Below are 20,477 nucleotides of genomic sequence, written 5' to 3' on the forward strand. Positions count from 1 at the left end.
AAGGAGAAGTCAGCCTTGCACAAATGGGTTAAAGACAGGTCTCCGGCTGCAAGGGGGATGACTGGATGACTTTCCTGAAATAGATACAGGTTCTGTCTCGGCTCTCTGCCTACAGCACAAGGCTCAGAAAATGAACTGCCCACAGGCCCAGCCAGAGGCTTCCTGGGGTCCTGCTTATTCCAGTGTCAGACCAGAAGCCCCTGTATGGCCTTGGGCAAGTCACCTCGAAGCCCTTGGGCTGCCTCTGTCTGCTCATCTGTCAAATGGGCAGGATTTGCCTGGCCTGTGCAGCCTGACCTATTTGAGTAAGATCAGAAGGGCCAATGAGAATCTCACAGAAAAGTCAAAAAAAGACTGCCAGATGTTGTTCTGGTGATTCTTCTGGATTCTTCATCACTAAACATTGGGAGCAGCTTTCCTTGTCTGTAATGCCAAGAATCCCAGCTCTACGCTTACTGGCAGGGCTCTGTCTCTGAACCTCAGTTCTCTCATCTGTGAAATGGGATGAGAGAATAATAGAATCTGCCATTCAGGCTGCCTTAGCCGTGAGTGGCATGGAAAAAAATCGTAAGTCAAATGGAGGCCATTATTATTGTTCTTGTCATTATTATTATTAATCCCAGAGGAGGCGGTGATCTGCAGGGTTATGAAATCACCCACGTGGATTGAGAAACCTTTTGCACAAAAATCCCCAGCTATCAAAACACCTAAACAGCCCAGTGGTGGCGCTGTCAGCATCACCGGGGGCTGTCTAGGGGCCATGTTACCAAAGCCGTATGGCCCCTGCTTGACAGGGTGCCCAGTGCCTGCCAAGGCCCCCTCTTGTGCAGCCCAGAAGCAGCAAGCCATCAACTTCCAGAAAGTTCCCAAGTCCCAGGGATTTCCAAGCAAAGGAACAGACAGATTGGCTGAGGTTGGCTTCCTGGAGACACCCTCCGGCTTTCCAAGTTTAAGATCCAGGGAGCAGCAGTGGCAGCCAGCTCTCAAAAGCTTACCCGTCCACTCCTCCCGCCTTGTGCCATCCCGCAGGCCGTGCCCCAACATTAAGGTCCTCACTGTCACCTTCAGCAGACTGTCCACCTGAAATCCCAGCCCCAAAAGCAGGAAGGAGGGGAGCCTTAGGGAGAGGCAGCCACCTACTTGGATCTCTCGGTCGGGACCAGTCAGGATGCCCATGGTGCAGGGGTTCAGCTGGGGGCTGTGGCGTTCATCCCAAGCCTGGGTCGGTGCATGCAAGTGGGAGCCCAGCTCCCGAGCCAGGGTGGCTCCAGTGGCAGAGGAGCCAGCAATCCTTCCTGCTTCTAATCAGATTGAGGAGATGTGCAGGGAATGGCAGAAGCATCCCCAGGGAGGCCAGGTGGAACCAAAAGGCCTCGGTTGCTAGGGAAAGCTGAGCTGTTGCCTGTAGATACCGGGTCTCTAGGCGACCATCTGCCCGTTACCAGGCCCTCACATCATCAGTAACCTGTGTCTCTGCAAAGCTGGCCAAGAGCATCCTTCCCCAGCCATTGACAGCCCAGTTTTTCTTGCCCTGGGCCTCACACCCTCTGGCCCTGGCCCTGTGATCACCAACTCTGTCACTCCCTTGTCCCTCCCTGGGCCTGGAGCCCAAAAGTTCCCCAAGTTCAAAACTCTGGGTAAACATTTGTATGAAGATGTTCACGCCTGCAGCATCTGCCGGTAACTCTGGATGCATGTGCATTTGTGCAAGGCTGTCACGTGGATGTGTGCAAGTATGTACATGTGTGCCTGTGTGCACACACATGTATGAATATGTATGAATGTGCTGCCTGTGCTTGTGCATATATGAAGCATGTGTGTGGGTATACGTGTGTGCATGCCTGTACATGTAAGTGTGTGCATAACCCAGCATGTATGTCTGTGTTGGTGTGCTGGTGCATATGGGTATAGTGCAGATATGTGTGTGTGTGCCCATGTGTACTGCATTCTGAGAACATGTGTATAGTTAGTACACATCTGCACATGCATGTATGTGAGCATAGTTGATCACTGGCCTTCAAAGGGTGTCTCAGATCCAGAGCAGTGGCAAATACAGGGGTTTTCCAGCCTGGGTGTTAGGTGTACAAGTTCAGCAAGGCAGCCACTTGTAGCTATACACCCCACACAGAAGCACAGCTCCATAGAAAGCAGAGGGCAAACAAGCTGCTCTAATGAAACCAGGCAGCAGCTAAGTTCCTCATCTTGCTGGGACTGCAGGGTGGCTCAGAAGGCAGAATTAGGACAAGTCAGGAAGGGACAGAAGCCATAGGGAAGCAGGCTTAGTTTTGGTCTAAGAAATAATTTCACAAGTCAGCGGGGCATATGGATGACATGGACAGCCTTTGAGAGGTTGTGAGCTCCCCGTCATTGGAGGTAAGCAAGTAGAGGCTGTGTGGCCTCCTGTCAAGGATGGAAAGAGTCTATGTGAACTGAGTAAGGATGGACTAAAAGCAGCTGACACTGAACAGGCTTCCAGCTCTGAAATCCTGTTTAACTATTTCCTGACTGGAACGAAAAGAGGCCACTGGGGGACGAGAACATCAGTGGCCATCGATGGGGCACTTACTCCCCTACAACTTCCATCATCACCGCTGGCCCTGATGACCCCTCTGCAGGAGCCTTTTATTATCCCCCATTTTACAGATGTGGAGGCAGAAGCTCTGAGCGGGTACACCACTTGCCCCAGTCATTTCACTAACAGAAGCAAAGTGGAGTTGGCGTTTCTGATGCCAAAGCCTGTGCTCCTAACACTCACAGTGCTATCCTGTCTCAGGCCATGGCCAGAGGGACAGGTCAGGGAGAAAGGACGCGGGTCATGAGGTACCATGGTGGTCAGAGACACAGGGACATAATGCCAGGGGACTGGAGCAAGGAGAGAGTAACTTACTGTCACCTGGCCCACCATAACAGTCTCCTCACTGTTCTCCCTGACTCAATCTTTCTCCAACACAGCTGCCAGATCATGCCACTCTCCTGCTCATGAACCTTCAATGGCTCCCCATCGCCTTTGGGAAAACAAGTTCAAGGCTTTACAACCTGCTTTTGAGGCAGTCCTTCTTTCTTCTTCTTCTTCTTTTTTTTTTTTTTTTTAAGTAGAGATGGGGTTTTGCTATGTTGGCTAGGCTGGTCTCGAACTCCTGGGTTCAAGTGATCCACCCACCTCGGCCTCCCAGAGTGCTGGGATTACAGGCGTGAGCCACCACGCCTGGTCGACCTTCCTGAAACACTAACTTGGCTTCTGGGCCCCATACTCTTCTTGTCTCTGCCCTGCTCACTGGTGCCTCCTCCTCAGTCCTTTTTGGTTCCTCATCTCCCCAACCTCTGGTCTTGTCCATGAGCCTCTCCTCTATCCACACTCGCTCCCTGGGCATCTCCTCGAGCCCCACAGCTTTCAATGCCACCTACATGCCCAGAATCCCAATGTCACATCTCCAGCCCCACCTCTCCTGCTCCTAACTCCAGGCACAGGTGTCCAACTGCCTGCTCTTCCCCATGCATATCCCCCTGTCCAGTCATCCTTCCACTCACCCTCCATAGTGTTTCCTGATCTCCAGTGTTTAATTTTTATTTTAACTGAACTCTTCTGTGTGTTTAACATTGAAATATATGGATGTGGGTGGACGATCGACCATTACTGGGCAGTAGAGCAGAATCCAGGACAGCCCTAGAAGGCATCAAAGGCAACCAAGGTGGGTGGATATGGAGGGGAGGCAGCCTTGGCTTTGTGAATAAAGGGAGAACTGGGAGCCCACTGCATATGTCCATGCAGACAACTAACATTTATTTGGTGCCCACTGTGTACCAGGCACTGTTCTAGGCTCTAGGGACATGGCAGTGAAAGCAACAGATAAAAGCCCCAGCCCTCTTGGAGGCTGCATTCTAGTGTGTGTGGGGGGGGATGTGGAGTGGTGGGTAATATGATTCCCAGGTCATGATGAGCACAGCAGGGGAACCCCAGCTTCTCGCAGCCTCTTTGGTCAAAGCCCAGCCTTACACAGCACAGAACAACAGAAAGGAGCTCCCATGAGCAGCAAAGAGTGCCCAGACCCCAGGAGCTCAGCCAACCCCAGCCCCAGGGCCGTTCCCAGACAGGTGAGCAAATGACTTACTCAGTCACCTCCTCCTCTTCCTCCTCCTCCTCCTCTTCCTCTTCCTCCTCCTCATCTTCTTTCTCCTCTTCAATCCGGGACAGCTCTCTGAGTTGGGGTTAGAGGCAGGAGGTGAGCCCACCCGAAGCTGCCCCGCTGAGTCTACCTCCTGCCTCTATTTTCTGTAGGATGTCCCATGACACCTGAGCCCAGACCTGGACTTTCCAACCAAGGCTCAACCTGGGGAGCCCCACCCGAGCAACCCTGAACTCTCTCTGGCAACAAACCCTCTCCTCTGCATGAGGGGACTGTCCCAGCCACTGTCCTGGTGGTGACCCTAGGTCAGCCTCTGATCCTCTCTGGGCCTCAGTTTCCCCATCTTAGCTATGTAAGTTATGGGCTTCAGAACCCGAGACCTCCCACTGTCACCAAGCATCTCTAGTAGGAACAAAGATTGCGACATCCCTGTGGAAGGCGACTTGGCAATCATGACCACAATTCCACATTCCCATGACCAATGACCCAGCAATTCCCCTCTAGAAATCTCCTGCAGACGTATTCACACATGTGCAAAGACATGCATACAAGAGTGCCTGATGCAGAATTGTTCATAATAACAAAATTTTGGAACCAACCTAAATGTCCATCAATAGTGAAGAGGTTTAATAAATTATGGTACAGCCATATGATGGAATACTATGCAGCAGTGAAAAATGAAGATGCCCTCTATATCCTGAATGTGGAAAGACCTCAAGGTATATTGTTGAATAAATACAGGAAGGTGTAGATAGGTACATGTGCTATGCCATCTTCTGTACAAAAAGAAAAAAGGAGGGAGATGCGAGCTTGCATGTACCCAGACTGTCTCTGGAGTGGCACATAAGAACCTGGTAGCCATTCTACCCATGGGAGAAGGATGGCTGTATGAAGGCAGGGGGAAGCAGGCTTGGTTCCTGCTCTGTGCCTTTTCATCTTTGAGATAAGGTACTGCATGCTTGGCACTTTCTCAAACAATAACTAATCTTTTAGGGTCTTCTCAGACTCCCCACCTGGGCATCTTCTCCACAGCTTTGTTCTCTTCTTCATAAGCTGGAACCACCTCTGTACCCTGTGGGCTGGTACTGACATCCTGGTGGGCATCCTCCCAGGGCGGTTCAACCTCCTCTAGGACAAGGTCAGGCTCCACTTGTCCTCCAGGAAGGATGCTGACTGCAGGGAACACAGGAAGAGCCATTTATGGGATGTGCGGGAGAGTGGGCTTGGGCCTCTGAGTCCCAGGGAGCCTGCAGGGAGCCCTGGCTGTCGCCAGCAGTGCCTCAGTGCTTAGTCATGCAGTGGGGAAATGGCACTTTCCATTTTCAGCGGGACCAGATCGGTGTTCCGGTGATAGGTTGAAGCCTGTGCTCATTCACTCTGTCTCCATTATTTTCCCCCCTTCTCCTCTTGAGACAGAGCTTTGATTATGGTTGATCCTGTTTGTTTCTCACGGGGGATTCCTTCTTAAAGGTTTGTGCAGAGGCAGAAACAATGCTTCCAATCACAGCATCACAGGGATGCCAAAAGGCCCAGGTTCAGGGTCCACCTGGCCACATCCAGGTGCAGGTGGACTGGATTGTCCTGGGGGATGCAGAGAGAGCTTGCCCGCTTCCTGCTCTGTAGATGCCACCCCCGGGTGACAGCACGCCCATACGTTCGGCATTTGCTTCTGAGAGTCCTTCCCTCCCTCCTGGGTCTAGAGGCTCCGCCCTCCAGGGAAACTCATCTTTCTCATGGGGGTGGTCCCAATTTCAGATGGGAGTCTAATTTTCAACACTTCTTCAAGTATCCTGGTCCTTGACAACAAAAACACCCTGGGCCTATAAGCCTGGCAGATGCTCAAAGGGAGTGCAGAGCAGTCTCATCAGGAACCTAAGCCTACCCCCAGGCAGGTGTCAGGGACAAAGGACAATGCCTGAATACTAGGTGTCCCCCGAAAGCTCCAGGGATCTTGGTGGACCTCAGCCAAACATGAATTAGTAATAGTGACTTTTTTGTTGTTGAGACAGGGTCTTGCTCTATTGCTCAGGCTGGAGCGCATTAGTGCAATTATGGCTCACCTCAGCCTCGACCTCCTGGGCTTAAGCAATCCTCCCACCTCACTCAGCCTTCTGAGTAACTGGGACTACAGGCATGCACCACCATACCTGGGTAGTAGTAACAATGACTTTAAATGGAAGCCGGCCTCAAGTCTTATCCTGAGACTTTGGCTGTTATTGTTCATGATGTTGCATAACAACAATAATAGTAACAGCAGCTGCATTTTTGAGCACTTACTATGTTCCAGGCCCTGTGCTGAATGGCTTACGTGGAATAACTCGATTAGTCCTCACATCAACATTTTGGGGTTATAATTTGCATCCCCATTTTATTTTCCCTCTTTTATGTTTTTCTCCCCATTTTACAGATGAGCAAACTGAGACACAGATAAATACCTTCTTTTATGGGGTGCTTCCATTGCCAGGCACAGAGCTCCCCACTTCTAGGTACAGATATTATCCCTGTTTCACAGATGAGGTGCTGCCTGCCCTCTAGGGAAGCCCCAAGAGCATCCTGAACTAGCTGTTTCCATGGTTGCTCCCGGCTCCTCTGGCCCTGCAAACGCCCCTGGGGTTTGGCCAGGGAGGCTCCTCCAAGTGTGACCCTGAATCCGGTGGTGGGACGCTTTGTCTGTGTCAGTCTATGCTGCTGTCCAGCAATAGTGCCATGTCTCCACTCTAAGCAGCCCCTTGGGATGCCAGTTCCTGCCTGGGCATAGCAGGGGACATCCAGGGAACAGAACATCTTGCCTGACAGCACGTGAGCTTTCACAGCAGCCCCAAAGGGCAGGAACAGTACTTTCCCCCTTTTAAAGAGAGCCAGCTCAGAGAGGCTGAGTGTCTTGTCCCAGGCCACACAGGAAGGTGGAGGCAGAGCCAGGTCCCCTGACTCCCGTTTTCCCAGTGCACTATCCCAGGTGATAAATGTGCCCCACGAGCGCCTCACTGGCATCAGTGGCCACTCCTTATGGGGTGCCGTCCTTAAGAATTGATGCTGTCCTTGCTTCCACACTTCCTTTCCTTTCCTTTCCATTAACATTTTCTTTTTAGGTCCTATTTAGTGCGTGGGTGTTTTACAAGCATTTCCTTTTTTTTTTTTTTTTTTTTTTTTTTTGAGACAGAGTCTCACTGTGACACCCAGGCTTGAGTGCAATGGTATGATCTTGGCTCACTGCAACCTCCGCCTCCCATTCAAGCAATTCTCGTGCCTCAGCTTCCCGAGTAGCTGGGATTACAGGCATGCACCACCACACCGGGTTAATGTTTGTATTTTTAGTAGAGATGGGGTTTCACCGTATTGGCCAGGCTGGTCTCGAACTCCTGACCTCAGGCAATCCACCCACCTTGACCTCCCAAAGTGCTGGGATGACAGGCATGAGCCACCATGCCCGGCCTCATTTCCTCTTTCCATCTCCGCAGCAGGCCTGCAAGATGTGTCCTATACTGTTCCCATTTTACAGCTAAAGATTCTGCAGCACTGAGAGGAGGACGGTGCCCAAGATCACCAACCTGGAAGGGGAGGGATTGGGTATGCTGCCACACAGCCCCCAGGGCAGGCCCCCAGGAGGCGTGGTGCAGGAGCCCCTGGCCCACCCCTGGAGCTCCAACTGCCCCTCTCTACAGGCAGCTGATTCATAGCTCGCCCAGCTTCTCCGTGGCCCTACCCAGGTGCTCAGGAGCTATGAGTGCCCTAGTTCCCATAGAAACTGCCACTCCACCCTGGCACACCACCTCCTGGTCAGTGGCCTCTCTGCCCTCAGGGCCATCAAATGAGGTTCTGACCCTGGCCAGTGAAAGTCAACAGCCTCGGTCGGACACAGTAGCTCACACCTGTAATCCCGGCACTTTGGGAGGCCGAGGTCGGCAGATCATGAGGTCAAGAGATCGAGACCATCCTGGCCAACATGGTGAAACCCATTCTCTACTAAAAATACAAAAATTAGCTGGGCGTGGTGGTGCACACTTGTAGTCCTAGCTACTAGGGAGGCTGAGGCAGGAGAATTGCTTGAACCCGGGAGGTAGAGGTTGCAGTGAGCCGAGATCACACCACTGCACTCCAGCCTGGTGACAGAGCAAGGCTCAATCTTAAAAAAAAAAAAAAAAAAAGAAAGTCAACAGCCTCATGTAGGAAGGAGCCCCTGCTTCCAGGATCAGCAGGCAGGAGCCAGGGCACATGAATTCTAGGCTAAGGTCCCCACCTGGACCCCTGGGTCTCTGTCAAAGCCTGAGCCCTAACTCCAAACCTCCATCCTTTCTGGCAGGCCTGGGTCATGATACCTCCTTCCTCTGCCTCTCCCTGGCTCAGGCTCACATCTCCTCCTACCTGGCCCCAAAGCACTAACCTCTCACTGGATGTTTCTCAAAGTATGGTCCCAGCCTCTACCCCGTCATCAGAATCATCTGAGAAAGCAGGTGCTTCTCAATAAAGCAGATTCTTCCATAACCATTGCTTGGTCATCAAAGAAAAAAGAAAGAAAGAAAGAAAAAAAAAACAACACAGAACCAAATTCCCAGCTCCCGGTACTCTTGAATCAGAAAGTCTGGGGTAGGACATTTTTCATAGTTGGCCCCAGGTGCTTTGGAAGTGTCCCTGCTTTGATTGCTTTCCCTGTCTCCAATGCTTGCTCAGCCTCAGAGTAATCTTTCTGAAGTCACTCCCCTGCTCAATCACCTTCAATGGCTCCCCATTGCCTACAGCTTAGTTTCCTAAAGTCAGGCCCCAACTTCTCTAGTTTTATCTTCTGCATTAAGGATGCTGGGCTCCAGATTAGCTGAAGTCCCACCACTCTCCTGTATGCCACACTTTATTCCCTCTACTGGGATTGCCCCACCTCATCACCAGTTTGAGACCTCAGGGATCTCAAATCCAAAGGCCTGCCCAGCCAGGGTGATGATGTAAACAAATGAAGAGGCAGGTGCCACCTGCCTTCAGGTGCCAGCAGCTGCCCAGACTGTCCTCACAAGCACAGTGTGGGCCCATGACAGCCAAGTCCACCCAGTTTTCAAGAGAAGCCAGATTTTTCCATGTAAAGCTACCTGATTTTTAAATGTTGGCAATCAATTCTAATTTTTAAAATCACTCCATGGCCCAAACAAAGACACATGTGGGCCAGCTGGGAGCCAGGACCCCCAGCTCAGGACCCCTGGCTAATTCCTCTCCTCCTGCAACCCAACACCGCAAGCCCAGGGCTATTCAGTCCACCCACTTTTAAAACCTAAACCCTTCTTTTAGCTTTATCCTAAGCAATAATATCAATGCAATCACAGGTTTGATGTGCTCATTTACACTCTTTTAATGTTAATGAAAACATTTGTTGCTGCTCATTGGTGTCCCCAAGCCTTGGAAGGAGAGAGTGTGGCCAGGCCTAGGGAGAACCTCTTCTGGGAAAAACTGTATCCTGTCGAGGTGCTGACGGTGCCAGGTACCACACTGGGGGCTGTGCACGCGTCCTCTCAAAGAGATGCTCAATACTGAGTCCTCCATCCATGGGGCTTTTTAATTTATTAATTTAAAAAAGGTTTTTTAGAGACAGGGTCTCACTGTGTTGCCCACGGTGGTCTCGAACTTCGGGGCTCAAGCAATCCTCCTGCCTCAGCCTCCCAAAGTGCTGGGATTACAGGCGTGAGCCACCACGCCCGGCTATGGGCCTTTTCCACAGCCCTCTGGGGGTAAGTCCTGCTGTCTAGCCTAAATCTTGCAGGCTGCCCATGGCTGGCCTTCCCCTTGTTCTGGTCTGGGAGGCTCTGGGGCTGGTGCAGGTGACTCTGGCTCCCCTTGTCCTGCCTGGGAGTGTGTGGAGAGGGAGGGGTTCGCTGTTCAAATAGGGTGGGGTGTCAGTGGCCACCTCCCCCGGGAAGGTCTTCTCTTCAGGGCATCCTTCTTTCCTTCCATCCATGTGTCCATCTGAGCTCTCCCAGATTCCCTTCTCCCTTATTTCAGAGACCTCCAGCTCCCATCACCCCTGAAACAAAGGAGAAGACAGGGTGGGTGGCTGGGTGGACAGGCGGAGGGAATGAGTGAGTGAGTGAGTGAGTGGATGAGTGAATGAATGGGGAAGGTAAGGGACACATATCCCCCAGCCTCTCAGAGTCTCCCCATGACATGGGACGTGAGTGGAATGGTGTCTCCCAAAAAGATAATTGCAAGTCCTAACCCCATTACTTGTGAATGTGACCTTATTTGGAAATAGCTTCTTTGCAGGTGTGATTAAGTTAAGGATCTCAAAGTGAGATCATCCCGGATTGAGGGTGGGCCCTAAATCCAGTGACTGATGTCCTTTTTAAAGAACGGAGAGGGAGGCTTGACACACACAGACACAGAGGTAAAGGCTGTGTAGAGACGGAGGCGGGCACTGGAGGACAGCCAGAAGCCAAGGTTTGCCAAGGACCGCAAGTGGCCACCAGGAGCAAGGAGAGCAGCATGGGCATGTCTCGCTCAGAGCCCCAGGAGGAGCCAACCCTGCTAAAGCCTTGACCCTGGACTTCTGGCTCCTGAACTGTGGGAGAATCAGTGTCTGTTGTTCTAAGCCGCCCAGTGTGCGCACATCTGTTACGGCAGTCCTAGAAAATGAAACCAAGCCAGCTCCTCTCCCTGTCCCCATGAGCCTGCCCCCATGGCCACCCAGCGTCCACCCATAACCCATATGCTCCAGGCATTGCAGGGAGGCCCTGGCCACAGCTGGCGGGGAATCCTGCCTCCTTCCAGAGGGTTCTGATGCTCCATCCTCAGATGCAGACCCTCTGAAGGCTCTCTGCCCCAAGGAAACGTTTTTAGTTCCTTTAAGCTGTGGCTGCCAGGCCAGGTGGACTCGATTTGCTCTGTGACCCTGGGCAGGTGCTTTTGGTTCTCTGAGCTCTGCCCACTGCCTGCCCCAACAGCCATGAGGGTCTCTGCTCTGCTGCCCCAGGTTGGCCACGAGCTTCCATGAGAGACTGCTTATGCCCTGCTCTGAGACAGGCCAGCTCTCCTCCTCCTCATGTCATCGCCATGATTACCATCAACCCTAACGCCCCCCACGCCTCTCCATCAGACCTGAGCTCCACAGTCCACTGGGCTGTGTGTGCTCCAGGCCATGGCGGCCACCCCCGGCTTCAGGGCACTCATGGAGACCACCATCAGACTAGCGGGGCTGGGGCTGGACACAGCCTTGCAGACACAGGGCAGAGCTCAGAGCCCTGGGACAGCCTGAGGCCTGTGGTTGAAGGGCTTGTGTTCAGGATGGAACAGGGGATGCCACCACCCACAGCCCCTGAACTCTGCTCACAACTAGAACCCATCACAGGCCTGGCACATAGTAGGCTGTCCTTAACTATGTATTGAATGAATGAATGAATGAATGCCTGTCCACCGCATGCCTCTCTAGAGGCCATGAAGTGAAGAAAGAACAGATCCTGCCTCCAGCCCCTTCCTGGTCTCAGTCCTCTGTCCCCGATTCCTGGCTCAGGGCTGGGATAAAGGGCATCATATGCCTCCCCAACCCAGCTGCAGGTGACAGGGACCCCCTCCAGCTCAAGGGAGCTGGAGGCTGTGGAGCCTGGTTCTCCCAGTGAGACCCCACCCCTCTCCCTTCAGCTTGGCCAAACCCATTTGCCAGGGGATGGGGGAAGCTCTCTGGGCATTACCAGCAGGAAGGAGAGCTCATCTGACTTAGCCCTGGGACTGTTTTCCCTGGATAGAAGCTGGACACTGGGCTCCGGGGGCCTCCAACCACCATCTGGCTCTGGGCCAGGCTCTGGCTACCTGGCTACCTGAACAGAGGTAGGGCCTGCAGAGCATGGGGCTCTCTCAGCTCCAGCCCAGGAGACCCTAACTGCCCCCCTGTGTGAGTCCAGGTCTGGCCAGGGACAGCCCCCCTGCCCACATACAGTCAGACCCAAGGACACCAAGCAACCCTTCCTAATATGTACATGGGGACTCAGTAATGTGTCACTTACTGGTCTGCACATCACATATCCCAGGGGAGTCAGGCTCCTGCATGGAGAGAGAAAAAAGGGAAAATCCTGCCACGGCCTCTTCACCAGCCTCCCCGTTTCAGCCACACCTTCTAGCACGTGACCTTGACCCACCTCTCCGGGCCTTAGTTGTCCCATGGGATGGAGAAGAGAGTCCCTGCTGTGCCCAGGGCCAATGAAGGATTTGAGGTGGGGGGAGGGGGCTTTGAGAGCTCGAGCCTTGGCTCAAGTGAAGCAAGGTGGGGGTGACCCCAGACAGCCACAGCAGCGGCACCTGCTCAGAGGAGCCAGGCCGAGCTCTTGAGTGACACAAAGGCCCAGGACCTGGCCAGGCCTTCCTCTCTCTGGGGCCTAGACAGCTTTGTTTACGGAACTCTTTACCTCCATTCTCACAGCCCTGGGTATGAGAATGCAGGTAAAGAGTTCTGTAAACAACTGACCATTGGTCAGCTGGGACAACTGCAGTTCTGAGAGGGCCAGAGCTGAGGCCACACAGCCAGGAGAGAGATTAGGCCTCCCACCTCCCAGTTCCAGGTGCTTCTATAAAGACGTCCAATTGCACCCAAGAAAAAAGGGCCAGGTTCCCGGTTCTTGAGGAAGGAAAAGAAGGGGTGACAGAGCTCATGAGCGCTCCCCCTGGCCACTCATGTTGGAGCCCTAGGCTATCAGGAATGCACATAGGGCTGCCGGCTCCTGTGAGCCTTACTTCTTCCCAGAATCTAGGTATCTCTCATTTCTGGACCTTTGCACATGCTTGGAGGCCACCTCCACTGGGAAGCCCTTCTTGATGCTCCCAGGAGGCTCCACTTCTGTGCCCCATATCCTCTCTGCTCCCCCACGGAAGCACCTCCCCCGCTGACTGTGAACTCCTGGCAGGTGGGGCTGGGCCAGCATGTCTCAGGGAGTGGGTGGAATGAACGTGGGCCATGCAGACAGGAAGGCTGGGGGAGCTGGGCTTCTGCCACAGGGCCAACCATCCTCCTCCTTACCCAAGTTCCCAAGACCCCTCCCACCACCACCAGGGCCACCACTCCATGAGCCCAGCACTGACCTGTTCCCCTATTTTCCCATGTAGCACTGGCTGCGGCAAGGCCATCTCCAGCCTGTGCAGGACCCATGCCACCAGCCTGCAGGTGGGAGAGAGTGTGCGGTGTCCAGGTGGGAAGGGTCATGGGTAAACTGAGGCTGGAGTCAGCTCGTTCCCAAGGCAGAAAACAAGCCTGCCAAAAGGCAGAGCCTGCCAGGAGCCAGAGCCCAGGTCTCCAGCCCTGAAGACCATTCTCCCCCCTCTCCACCCTCCCTCGGTGCTCTGGCTATTGTTCAGGCCCTAGCAGGTAGCTCGGCCTCCCCCCACCCTCCCACCCGTTCTCGGAAGGGAGTGCACTTTGGGCATCTCACACATGGAATGTGGCAATACCTGTCCCGATTTCCTTCCCTCCTTCCCTTCTTTTTTCTCCCATCTTTCTTTCTTGACTTGGTGGCCCAGGCTGATGTGATCATATCTCACTCCTGTCTCAGCCCCCTGAGTAGTTGGGACTACAGGCACATGCCATCATGCCCAGCTTTTTTTTTTTTTTTTTTTTAATTTTTTGTAGAGATGGAGTCTTTCTATATTGCCCAGGCTGGTCTCGAACTCCTGCTGCCATGGCTTCCCAAAGTACCGGGATTACAAGCATGAGCCACTGCACCCAGCCTGTATCCCATTTTAAATATATGTATCCTTTGGCCCAGGAACTCCATTTCCACTTATTTATCCTCCAGATTTACTTGTGCGTGAACCCAATGATGCATGCACGGGTTATTGACTGTGGCAAAAGAGTGAAAACAAATGTAAATGTCCACTGAGTGGTTAAATAAAAACTGGTGCATCCATTTAATGCAGCTGTTCAAGAAAGAATGCAGTAAGACCTGTGTGAATAAAAGCACTTCTAAGACACATTTTTCAGGTTAAGAAAAAAAAAAAAGAGGAAGCAGGCCAGGCCGGGTGGCTCATGCCTATAATCCTGGCACTTTGAGAGGCCAAGGCGGTCAGATTGCTTGAGGTCAGGAGTTTGAGACTAGCGTGGCCAACATGGCGAAACCCCGTCTCTACTAAAAATACAAAAGTTAGCCGGGCACCTGTAATCCCAGCTACTCAGGAGGCTGAGGCAGGAGAATCACTTGAACCCAGGAGGCAGAGGTTGCAGTGAGCAGAGATTGCACCACTGCATTCCAGCCTAGGAGACAGAGCGAGACTCGGTCTCAAAAAAACAAACAAACAAACAAACAAAAAAGCAAAGTGCAGACGAGTATGTATAGTTTGCTCCTGTCAGGTGTGTGTTGAAGAAAAGAAAAGTACCCAAAGCTTGAAAGCTTGGACGTGCATAGAAAATGTGGGAAAGGGCACGAAGCTGATGTGGCTGCCTTGGGAAGGAGGCTGCACACATCCAGTTGAATTTTCTTCCAGGTTTCCAGGAGGTTGGGTGTTAGGCGGGGACAAGGTGCTCATCCTGCTCCCTGGTGGGAGGCGCTGCATTGAGGGTGGCTCACCTGGCAGGGTCCCTGGTTGGTGGCAGGGAGGAGGTCTGGGCCTGGGAGCCGGGCTGGGGCTCTGGAGCTGGTGCCTCCTTGGGTTCCTCCTTGGGCTGCAGGGGGATGGGTGTGGGCAGGGAGGGGGTCTCCCGGGCCTGCAGCTTGGGCCCCATTTCCTGGGGGCGTCCTGGAGGCGCTAAGCAGCGGGGAAAGCAGGAGCTAGAGACGCCATCCCTTGAGGGCTTCCTCCAACCCCTCAAGGGCACGGGGCCAGATTCGAGTCGCTAACAGGACTGAATGGGGAGCCCTTTGGGACCACCTCACCCATCCCAATCCTCAAACAGACCAGACAGACAAGGGAACTGAGACCCAGGGAGGGGAAGAGACTTACCCAAGACCCACAAGTCTGTTCCAGGACACTGGCTTCCCAGCCTGGACTGGGGAGGGGATTCTGGTGTCCCCGCCAACAGCCTGCTCCAGGCAAGCCCTGAACCCCGTCCTAGTCTGGGTGGGGGCTAAGGGCCTCTGGGGGATCCTCCAGGGCCCAGTTGATCCCTGAGCCCAGCCCGTGACCATCCCAGGCAGCCCCCTCCCGAGCTCCCCTCCCTGTACCTGGGTCTGAGGCAGCACCTGTAGCAACTGCAGGCTCATCTCTCCAGACCTGGGTGACAAACAGGGCGCAAGGTCATGGGCCATAGCAAGCTCTGTGCGCTTCCCCAACCGCCACTACCAGCTGTGTCCTGGCCCAAGGCGGGTGAGCCGGGGATGGGGGTGGGGGGTGTCTCTCCTTCTGAATCCCGGCCCCCTCTCACAGTCACTCCTCCCCATAGAGGACTCTCCAAAGTGGGGCATCGCCCCCTCATGAGTTCTGGGGTGGGTGGGGACAGCCTGCTGGAGGAGGCAGTCCCTCCTGGGGCCCCAGAAGCCCCCCCATATACTCAACTCCCTGCCTCTCCCTTCCTTGGCTCACCTCAGAGGATTTGGGGGGCTGAGGAAGCACTCTTTCCAGATTCTGCTCCAGCCACAGAAGCAGCCGCAGCCCAGGCCTGCAGAGGGGCCAGTGATCAGCAGAGTGCCCTGAGGGAACCGGCCAGCGCACTAACAGCCCACCTCGGGGCCAGGCCTCAACCAGCCATTCCGTGCCCTCCAATCCTGTTCTGCACAGTGGGGGCCTTGTCCTGGAAACTCTCAAAGGGCCCCAAGCGGGTGGGGAAATCCTGTCAGCCTCCATTTCTGAGCCAGGGCTGGACCAGGCTCTGGAACCACAGCCATGGCCTCCTGGGGCAGCAGGGGAGAGGCAAGAGCCGCTTGAGGACCTGAATGCAGCCCTGGGGGCTCCCTGTGCTGGAACAGACAGGGCTGGCTGGCTGTACAGGAGTGTGACCTGTGCCATCACACAAAGCCTTAGACTTAGAAGGACCTGGTTTTGGTTTCATACTCTGCTGTCACAGTCTGAAAACATTTTAAACAAACTTTTAAGGGGCCTGCATTTGCATTTTGCCCTGGGCCCCACAAATTATGTGGCTGGTCCTAAGATCAAGCATTGGATCCCAAATCCATCTGGCCTCTGGGAAGCTCCACTCTCTTCAGAGAAGCACCATGTTCCCAGGACAACCGGTTCCCCCAAGTATGGCCCAAAAGAAGGCTGGTGAGTCCTCTAGGTGCCCTCATCCTAAATTGCTTTAGTGGTCCCAGGAATCAGCTGCATATGTCTCAGAAGGAAGTAGAGGACCAAAAGACACAGAGAGAGAGCTGCAGCAAGGAATGAATGAATGAATGAATGAATGAATGAATGAATGAGTGAATGAAGTGTGTGATTATATATACGTGTGTTCATTCATGCATTCATTTGTCCCATGTGTGCTGAGTCCTCACTCTGTGGCAGGTGCTGTGCTGGGCACCAAGGGTTCAGTAGTGACCAGGACAAAAGCCCCTGCCCTCAAGGAGCCAGCAGTCTAATGAATGAATGAGTGAAGGAACGAATGAATGGGGTGAATGGAAATGAATGCATGTCTCTGGATTTCCAGCAGAAACTACAAACTGGGAGCTTCAAGCTTACTTTGGAAGTCTACAGTGTCCTGAAAACTTCTTGACTAAAAATTGAGGGTTTTACATAAAAAGCTAGATTTCTAGCTTCTCTGGAAAACCTGGAGGATCTGGCCACACAGGGCCTAAACGCCAGCAAGGAAGAGGCAGTTGAAACCAAGCAGGGCCCCTTCTCGGAGCTCCCTGGCTCCCCTCTTCGCCACAGTCCCCCTGCCAGTCTGCCACCCTTACTGATGGGGCAGCCACCCCTCCCTGAGTCAGCTCTGAGAACTCAGACACTGAGGCCAGCCCAGGCACCCTGATGTCCCCCACAGTGATCCAAGCCCTGCTTCCAGGCTCCACACGGAGCCTACCTACATGAAGCCCACCTGTGAGGAGCTCATCCCTGCCCCTCCCTATTCTCAGAGGGTGGCCCCACCCAGGGACCTCTCAGTCATCCCTGGGAACACCCAGGGACATCCCACCACAAACCATGAGCAGCACACGGTCCACTGTCCCCATTCTATGGCTGGAAACAGGCCCAGAAGAGACGGGAGGCATGTCCAAGGTCACACCCTGAGGTGGTAACAGACCCTGCTCCTGAAACCAAGGACCTGTTCCTCCCACCCACACATACAGACAACAGTGACACTCAGGGATAGGGACTCACCTAGTGTCTTGGGCCTCAAGGGCCTCATTGGGTTCATCTGTGCACCCTGCAGGGTCAGAAAATACAGAAAGGCAGTCAGCAGCGGGAGACCTGCCCCAGCCCCCTGGGCAGCCTGGAGTGGGCACCGAGAGCTCAGCTCAACCCCAGGTTCAAAGCAGGGTCAGTCAGGTGAGAAGATCCAGCCTGGGCAGAGGCTCCCAAGGGGCAGGGCCCATCCCAGCAGCCCCTCAGCCCCTCAGCCCTGCTGCTGAAAAGCCATCCTGCCCCTTGTTCTTACCTGTGTCCCCAGTGCTGCCATGCCCCAGGATCTGCCAGGGACAGACAGACAGACATGGGCAGGGAGCCCAAGGGCAGCCTCCCCACAGCCCCTCTCCAACCCGGCCCCTTCAGCCTCCAGCCCCAGCAGTACCTGAGCCGGGTCCTCCGTGATGCTGTGAACAGGCTGCGGGATCACCTTCTCTACGCCCTTCATGAGCCAGGTCAGTACCCTGCGGCTGGGACTGCGATGGACAGAGACACCAGCCCGCCCTCAACTTCCCCTAGCTCAATGAGGCCCTCGAGGCCCAAGACACTAGGTGAGTCTCTGTCCCTGAGTGTCACTGTCATCTGTATGTGTGTGGTGTGGTTATTGGAAAGTACCTACATGTACCACTGGCCCAAGGCCAGTCCAGTGTCCAAAAGAACTTGGCTTGAATCCTAAACCACTGTCTCCCCACTGTGAGACTTCAGACCCATCACCTCCCCAAAAAGCTCCACGTCCTTCTCTGAAAAATAGGGGATGCTGATGCTTCATGAGGCCAGGCAGACCGGGTGCCATTCAGAGCCCACCCTCCATGGGATGCTTAGGACAGAGCAGCTGACTTCCCTCTCCTCCTGCCTCCTGCTGTCCTGCTCTGAGCACACATCGTGCTCCCAAAGGGCCAAGGTTTGCTGCAGGTGTAATGCTGTGGCACAGGCTGAGCAGCCTAAATGTGAAGGTCACAGCCTCCCTGCCTGAGGCCAGCCCAGCCCCAGCCCTGCTCAGGCCCCAAGCACCATGGGCTGAAATGTCTGAGCCAACTGGGAGATTCCATGCAAAAGCCTGGATTTCTGGCTTTTCTGAGAAAAGCAGAAGCTCTGACCCCATTGGGCCTGCATCTCACCCAAGCACTGAGAAACGTCCGGCCCCCTGTACAGGGGCGCTCACTATGCAGCTCTGACCCACTGTTTCTTTTGGTCACATTGCCCTGCCCTCAAGGGGCTAACAGTCTAATGAATGAATGAGTGAATTAACAGTCTAATGAATGAATGAGTGAAGGAATGAATGAATAGGGTGAATGGAGATGAATGCATGACTGGATTTCCAGCAGAAATTACAAACTGGGAGCTTCAGGCTTACTTAGGGAGAGCCCGCCCTCCACCTGAAGCTCACTTCAGCCAATTCCCAGGATGTCCCAGGGCTTTCCCCAGAATGACAGCAGAGCTAAGGGCAGTGCCCATCCCCACCCCCATCCCCAGGGCTCCCTAGCTGGGAGGGTAGTTGGGAGGCGGGCTGGCCCTGAAGAGAGGGGAGGGTGGTGCAGTACCTATTCATTTCAGAAATCTCAGCGCCCTGGGCCCGGAGGGATATGGTGGAAGTAAGGGCAGCCTCCTTGGTCTCTGGAAAAGAATCTCTCATCCTTCAGATCTAGGGCCTCAGACAGGCCCATTTCTACCCTGCTTGGGGAGATCAAGTCAGGGGAGAGGAGAGAGACCCCCAGGGGTCAGAAAGCCAGGCTCCAGCTCAGCTCAACTGAAGTCTCTGGGAGCCCACCCTTAGCTTCTCTGAGTCTCAGTTTCCTCATCTGTGAAATGGGTCCGCCAGCCTCGTGGGCTCTGCGGCTCCGAGGGGAGAATGCGGGCCCCCCTGCCATGCCAGCCTGGGCTTCAGCACTCGCACTCACCCTGAGGGCTTGGGTCTGCCACAGCCACTTCCTCCTCCTTGAATGACTCTTCGGGGGGCTAGAGGGTTCGAACAGGATCATGTAAGTCCTAGGTGAGACCAGCCTGGTTTGGACAGGGGCAGCCTGATTCTCCCTCAAGGGATCCCTGCCCCACAAAAGACCTGAACGACTCTTTCCTCAGGATCATCTCTGTAAATCCTGTTGGCCTTACCTTCCACCTGGGATACTCCCTTCCTCCTAGCCCCAGGGACCCCTCATCTGGGGCTGGGGGCCCTCACAGCCCCCAAGGTCCAAGGTGGCCTCCAAGCCTCCCAGGCCTACAACATCCCCAGGAGGCTGCCCCACTTCAGTGGCCTGAGAGGAGAAAGGACCATTTAGAGATAGTTATGAAGCCTTGGGGCTGGCTGAGGGGAAGAGGGAGGTGAGAGGAGCCCACGCCCCTCATCCTCTGCCAGTGCTCTCCCTCTCCTTCTGGCCCAAACTTTCCATTCCTCCCTAGTAGCTAGGTGGAGTTTGGTCTCTGCCATCTGCCTTTCACCTGCCTCTGCAGCCACACCTCCTGCTACTACGTGCACTTATGTGTATGTACAAACAAATATACATGCACATACATACACAGACACATAAATGTGTGCATACTCACTCTCATGCACATACATACATGAACAGACATACAATGTGAGCATATATACACATACATATGCATGTATACAATGACACACAAATACCAACATGCATATATACACACACATGCACAGACACAAAAATAAGTGCATGTGCACACACGTACAGGCAAAAACATATGTACATATACATGTGTATGTACATATGCATGCATGCCCCAACACATATATGTGCATACAGTCATATGCAAACGTGCATATACACACATGCATTCATACAGATACATACATGCGTATAACTGCCTGTGTACAGACACACAACATGCACATATGCATAGGTACATTGCAGATGTATACAGGTGCAGAAATATGAGTATACACACATATGCTCAGTCACACACATGTGCATATTTGCACATACACAGAAGCATGTCCATATGGACATGCATATACACACAGATTTCTGCACCTAAATATACATGAACATCCATGCACAGACACAAAATGTGTATATATACACATGTGGAGACAGGCAAATATGTGTATATACACATTCACAGATGCACAAACATGCAGATACATAGAAATACATGAGTACACTCACATACTCA

The 20,477-nt window shown here is 53.6% G+C and overlaps 1 protein-coding gene across 3 annotated transcripts in view, besides 1 other annotated feature; it reads right to left on the minus strand.

Moving 5' to 3' along the window:
* Positions 1-20,477, minus strand: part of CNGB1 (cyclic nucleotide gated channel subunit beta 1) — an 88,789-nt gene that overhangs the window by 62,904 nt on the left and 5,408 nt on the right. Inside the window, exons 3-14 of one of the 3 annotated variants that reach the window (NM_001286130.2) lie at positions 19,244-19,301; positions 18,887-18,959; positions 17,731-17,821; positions 17,599-17,629; positions 17,322-17,367; positions 15,597-15,672; positions 15,257-15,287; positions 14,645-14,822; positions 13,167-13,242; positions 12,098-12,134; positions 5,138-5,297; positions 4,110-4,196 (exon numbers count right to left, since the gene is read on the minus strand). In NM_001286130.2, coding sequence (NP_001273059.1) covers positions 4,110-4,196; positions 5,138-5,297; positions 12,098-12,134; positions 13,167-13,242; positions 14,645-14,822; positions 15,257-15,287; positions 15,597-15,672; positions 17,322-17,367; positions 17,599-17,629; positions 17,731-17,821; positions 18,887-18,959; positions 19,244-19,301 — 944 coding nt within the window. Of the gene's footprint in view, positions 1-4,109; positions 4,197-5,137; positions 5,298-9,431; positions 10,126-12,097; positions 12,135-13,166; positions 13,243-14,644; positions 14,823-15,238; positions 15,288-15,596; positions 15,673-17,321; positions 17,368-17,598; positions 17,630-17,730; positions 17,822-18,886; positions 18,960-19,243; positions 19,302-20,477 lie in introns of those variants that run through there. The other 2 variants (NM_001297.5, NM_001135639.2) reach the window with 2 other exon arrangements.
* Positions 19,342-19,841: an enhancer, noted in NCBI's record as "H3K4me1 hESC enhancer chr16:57998489-57998988 (GRCh37/hg19 assembly coordinates)". NCBI's record gives its function as "activates a minimal SCP1, AML or CMV promoter by ChIP-STARR-seq in primed H9 embryonic stem cells {active_cell/tissue: H9 hESC(primed)}" and the evidence as "EXISTENCE:reporter gene assay evidence [ECO:0000049][PMID:30033119]".

Source organism: Homo sapiens, chromosome 16 (genome assembly GCF_000001405.40).
Source record: "Homo sapiens chromosome 16, GRCh38.p14 Primary Assembly".
Lineage (NCBI taxonomy): Eukaryota > Metazoa > Chordata > Mammalia > Primates > Hominidae > Homo > Homo sapiens.